The sequence below is a fragment of the Homo sapiens genome, chromosome 19 (genome assembly GCF_000001405.40).
Source record: "Homo sapiens chromosome 19, GRCh38.p14 Primary Assembly".
Taxonomy (NCBI): Eukaryota; Metazoa; Chordata; class Mammalia; order Primates; family Hominidae; genus Homo; species Homo sapiens.
Genome location: NC_000019.10, coordinates 39,660,934 through 39,666,933, shown reverse-complemented (window position 1 = coordinate 39,666,933; position 6,000 = coordinate 39,660,934).

The following is a 6,000-nucleotide window of genomic DNA, read 5'->3' as shown; positions in this document are numbered from 1 at the left end:
GAAAAGATACCCAAAAATGTGGAAGCGACTTTGAAACTTGGTAACAGGCAGAGGTTGGAACAGTTTGGAGGACTCAGAAGAAGACTGGAAAATGTGGGAAAATTTGGAACCTCATAGAGACTTGTTGAATGGCATTGACAAAATGCTGATAGTGTTATGAACAATAAGGTCCAGGCTAAGGTGGTCTCAGACGGAGATGAGGAACTTGTTGGGAACAGGAGCAAAGGTGACTCTCATTATGTTTTAGCAAAAAGAGTGGCAGCATTTTGCCCCTGCCCTAGAGATCTGTGGAACACTGAACTTGAGAGAGATGATTCAGGGTATCTGGTGGAAGAAATTTCTAAGCAGTAAAGTATTCAAGAGGAGACTCAGATGATGTTAAAGACATTCAGTTTTATAAAGGAAGCAGAGCATACAAGTTTGGAAAATTTGCAGCCTGACAATGTGATAGAAAAGAAAATGCCATTTTCTGAGGATAAATTCAAGCTGCCTGAAGAAATTCACATAAGTAGTGAGAAGCTGAATGTTAATCCCCAAGACAATGGGGAAAGTGTCTACAGGGCATGTCAGAGATCATCACAGCAGCCCCTCCCATCACAGGCCCAGAGGCCTACAAGGAAAAAATGGTTTTGTGGGCCGGGCCCAGGATCACTGTGCTGTGTGTAGCCTAGGGCCTTGGTGCTCTGTGTTTCAGCCACTCCAGCCATGGCTGAAAGGGGCCAACATAGAACTCAGGCCATGGCTTTGAGAGTGCAAGCACCAAGCCTTGGCAGCTTCCACCTGGTGTTGAGCCTGCAACTGCACAGAAGTCAAGAATTGAGATTTGGAAACCTCCACCTAGATTTCAGAGGATGTATGAAAACGCCTGGATGTCCAAGCAGAAGTTTGCTACAGGGGTGGGGCTCTCATGGAGAACCTCTGCTAGGGCCATGTGGAAGGGAAATGTGGAAGGATCAGAGCCCCTACACAGAGTCCCTACTGGAGCACTTCCTAGTGGAGCTGTGAGAAGAGGGACACTGTCCTCCAGACCCCAGATACCTTGCACCATGAGCCTGGAAAAGCTTCAGACACTCAACATCAGCCCATGAAAACAGCCAGGAGGTGGGCTATACCCTGCAAAGCTACAGGGGCAGAACTACACAAGGCCATGGGAGTCCACCTCTTGCATCAGCATGACCTTGATGTGAAACATGGAGTCAAAGGAGATCATTTTGGGGCTTTAAAATTTGACTACCTGGCTGGATTTAGGACTTGCATGGGGCCTGTAACCCCTTTGTTTTGGCCAATTTCTCCCATTTGGAACAGCTGTATTTACTCAATTACCTGTACCCCCATTGTATCTAGGAAGTAACTAGCTTGCTTTGGATTTTACAGGCTCATAGGCAGAAGAGACTTGCCTTTTATCAGATGAGACTTTGGACAGCAGACATTTGGGTTAATGCTGAAATGAGTTAAGACTTTGGGGGACTGTTGGGAAGGCATGATAGGTTTTGAAATGTGAGGACATGAGATTTGGAGGGGCCAGGAGCAGATTAATATGGTTTGGCTATGTACCTACCCACATCTCAGCTTCAATTGTATCTCTCAGAATTCCCATGTGTTAAGGGAGGGACCCAGGGGGAGGTAGTTGAATCCCTTGGGCTGGTCTTTCCCATGCTATTCTTGTTATAGTGAATAAGTCTCACAGGATCTGATGGGTTTATCAGGGGTTTCGTCTTTTGCTTCCTTCTCATATTCTCTTGCCACTGCCATGTAAGAAGTGCCTTTCATCCACTGCTATGACTCTGAGGCCTCCTTGGCCATGTGGAACCATAAATCCATTAAGCCTCTTTTTCTTCCCAGTCTCAGTTATGTCTTTATCAGCAGCGTGAATGTCGACTAATACATTTGGTATTGTCAAACTTCTTAATATTTGTGGAGCGAATAGATATGTAGTATCTTGTGCATTTTCTTGATTACTAATGAGGATGAGAAAATTTTTATGTTTTGGGGGCATTCTCTTTTGTGAAATCCCTATTAATGTCTTTTCCCAATTTTCTTTTGGGATGCTATTTTTAAAATTAATTCATAGGAACTCCTTATACTTTGTTGATTTGATATTAATCTTTCATAGGTTTTAGGTACTGCAAATATCTTCTTCTAGTTTATAGTTTATCTTTTCACTTTTTTACTTTTATTTTTTAATTTTTACTTTTTTTTTGAGACAGAGTCTCACTCTGCCATTCAGGCTGGAGTGCAGTGGCTCACTGTAACCTCCACCTCCCGGGTTCAGAAGATTCTCGTGCATCAGCTTCCCAAGTAGCTGGGATTGCTAGTGTCTGCCACCAATGCCTGGCTAATTTCTTATATTTTCAGTGGAGACAGGGTTTCACCATGTTGGCCAGCCTGGTGTCAAACTCCTGACCTCAGGTGATCTACTGTTGGGATTACAGGCTTGAGACACCATGCCCAGCTTATCTTTTCACTTTTTGATGTAAAAAGTTCTCAATTTTGTGATAGTCAAAACATCTAATCTTTTTTAATGGTTAAATGGCTTTTTGTGTCTCATTCACTTACATTTTCTACTAAAAGTTTTAAAGTTTTGTTTCTGACACATAAGTCTTTGGTCCATCTGGAATTTAATGTTTGTATATAGAGCGAAGAAGGAATATAATTTCATTTTGTTTCCTATATCAGTAACCATTATTTTTCTTTCCTATGTATTGAAAAGTCCTTTCTTTCTTTGCTGATCTGCCATGTCACCTGCATCACATATCAAATATTAAATTTGTGGAGATTTGTTTGGGAGCTCTCTATTCTGTTTCATTGGTCAGTTTATCAATGAAGACCACACTATCTTAATTGCTGTAGCTTTATAAAACTTCTGATATTTGGCAGGAGAAATCTTTCCTTTTCTTTAATAATGTCTTTGACATTCTTGGCCCCTTCCCTTTTCCACATATATATGTATGTATATGTATGTATATATATACATACATATATATGTGTATATATACATACATATATATGTGTATATATACATACATATATATGTGTATATATACATACATATATATGTGTATATATACATACATATATATGTATGTATGTGTGTGTGTGTGTGTATGTGTATATATATATATATATATATATATATATATATATAGAGAGAGAGAGAGAGAGAGAGAGAGAGAGAGAGAGAGAGAGAGTCTCACTTTGTTTCCCAGGCTAGAGTACAGTGGTGCAATTGTAGCTCACTGCAGACTTGAACTCTTGGGCTCAAGAGCTCCTCCTACCTCAGCCGCCCAAGTAACTAGGACTCTAAGGCATGCACCACCACATCCAGCTGATTTTTTAAAAAATTATTATTTTTTGTAACGATGGGGATCTTGCTATGCTGCCTAGGCTGGTCTCAAACTTTTGACCTCAAGCAATCCTCCCACCTCAGGCTCCCAAAGTGCTGGGATTACAAGTGTGAGCCACCACACATGGCTCCAATTTCCATATTTTAAGACCATATTTTAAAAGCTGCTCAAGCCTGCTTTTTTCTCTTGATGCTACTTGCAAATCCCTTACTTAGCTGTGGAAATACTGTTAGTGAAGAAAATCTAAAGAGTCGAAAAATGAAATATTCTTTCTTTTCTTCCAATTGCAAAAGGGCAGACACCCTCCTGCATCATAAAGCTAGTTTTGATAAATTGGTGAACTGAGAGCATACACAGTATTATTAATTCTGTTCTAATTTCTACTCCACTGTGGAGTCTCTTGCATAGTCTTAAAAGATTATTGCTATGAAATATTCTTATACATTTAACCCATAACCTCTACAATTCTGCAGTTGTAGTTGGTTGTCTTACCTGATAATCAGTTGCTTTGCTTCATAATATTTAAATTGCCATCTCTATTTTCCAAAAGGCATAAATACTACTATAGATTTTTTAGTTAAGCCAGAAGAAAGTTCACTTTATTTACTAACATAACTTATATGTAAAGGTTTAATAAATCTCCATGCTTCTTTTCTTTTGCATCATGACAGCCACTGAAAATAATATTTCTATAGCAGCTGGGGATAAATAGACAATGACTTTTGTAGCCAGAGGTGAATGGCCCAGGGGCTCCAGCACTCCAGGTCCCACTGAGCCTACCCCACAGCTGAGGGCATCTGTATTTCCACACACCTATAGTGCACGGTGCCCCAGAACAGAGATCAGATGCTCTCCTTTATTCAAATGGGGAGTTGAGAGTATTGTCATTGTAATTAAATTAATACATACATATTTATACACTGTTAAAATCTGGTTGGATTTGTGTCCCTTCACAAAACAAATTGCTTACATGAAACCACAGCGTTAACATAATTGAGTACATCTGCTTCTATGAGATGCTCTTTTAAATTGAATTATAATCTAATTTGAAATGTCAATAAAAAATTCAAATATTCAACTCAATTATATTTAGATTTCTTTTTGTTTTGTTTTGAGATGGAGTTTAGCTCTTGTCACCCAGGCTGGAGTGCAATGGCATAATCTTAGCTCACTGCAAGCACCTTCTCCTGGGTTCAAGTGATTCTCCTGCCTCAACCTCCCAAGTAGCTGGGATTACAGGTGCCTGCCACCATGCTCAGCTAATTTTTGTATTTTTAGTAGAGATGTGGTTTCAACATGTTGGCCAGGCATAGGGAAAGGGCTGTTATTCTGCCATCTTGGTAGGAACTCCAAGAAGCTGAGAATGGAGGGTGAGGGCAAGTGCTACGGAGAAACATTCCCAGAGAAAATGAAAATAGGTGTCTGGTTGGTTTCACCAATGATACAGATTAGTGACTGCTGTCTATTTTATTTTGCCCCTCTAAAATAGGTGTTTTCATTGCCTTTTTTCCTGTCTCCTTCAGTCTTCTTTGCTTGATTTGTATAAAGCAGATAATGTGTTCCTTTGATGCACATGTTGAGAGAGATTGCAAGTGATAAGTTGTAGTCACATCATAGACACCATATCCTGATTAGATAAGACACTGCACTTTACTCTGAGGCCTGTTCCTATAATTGTATGCCTTCAGAGATTCCTTACAGGGTGTGTTTTTGGTATATGGGAAGTAGTTCTGAGTGGAACTAGTTGCCAAGGATGGCCCCTCATGACTACAGTCACAATAACCACAGCTTGTGGAGTCCTCTCCTTTTGATTAGGGCTGTCTGTGTGACTCATCTTGATCAATGTAAAGTCATAGAAGTGACACTGTCTGCCATTCAAAGGTAGGTCCTGTGATGCTGTGCACCTTCTCCATGAGCCTTTTGGAAGGCTTACCTTGGTGAAAGCCAGTCACCATTCATTAAGTCTAAGAACTGTGAGAGTCTATTTGAGGAAATTAAAGGCATGAATGGGAAGGTGAGGTAGTGAAGGAAATAATCAGCCAGTTTCCAGGTGTTCACTCAGCCCTAGTGTTGAATTGGACAAGAGTAAAGCATCCCTTGAAATCCCAGCCTAAAAGATCTCTCAAATAACGTGACTCCCATCACATGACCTACCACTCACATGAATTCAGTAAACCTGTAAAGCTGGGAGAGATCAAAATAAATGATTGCTTTTAGCCAATATGTGTTGGGCAGTTTTCTATGCTGCAATTTATCGCAAGAATAGCAGCAAAGCAGGATCTGCTCACTGTGTCCATGGACATGAATTGTGTCTATTCCAATAATAATCTACGTGTTCTCTGATCTAAAACCATGACCATTTATTTCTAAAGAGAAACCCCTGGATTCTCCCCACATAAAATGAAAAACTTTTCAAATATTTGAAAATAAGAATAATTGGTATTCTTTAAGGGGAATCACTGGGCTCCAGTGATTCTCTATTGCTTGGATTGAAAACTTTACATGCAAAACTTGTCATCCTTTTCTTCACTTCCTTCACAGCAGCCTGCACAAAGCCAGGCATAGTGTTCCTACACAATAAGCATCCTGAGAACAATGGAAAAATTAAGAAATTCCACATAATTTTCCTAAAGTTATAGGTTTTCCCCAAAGCTAC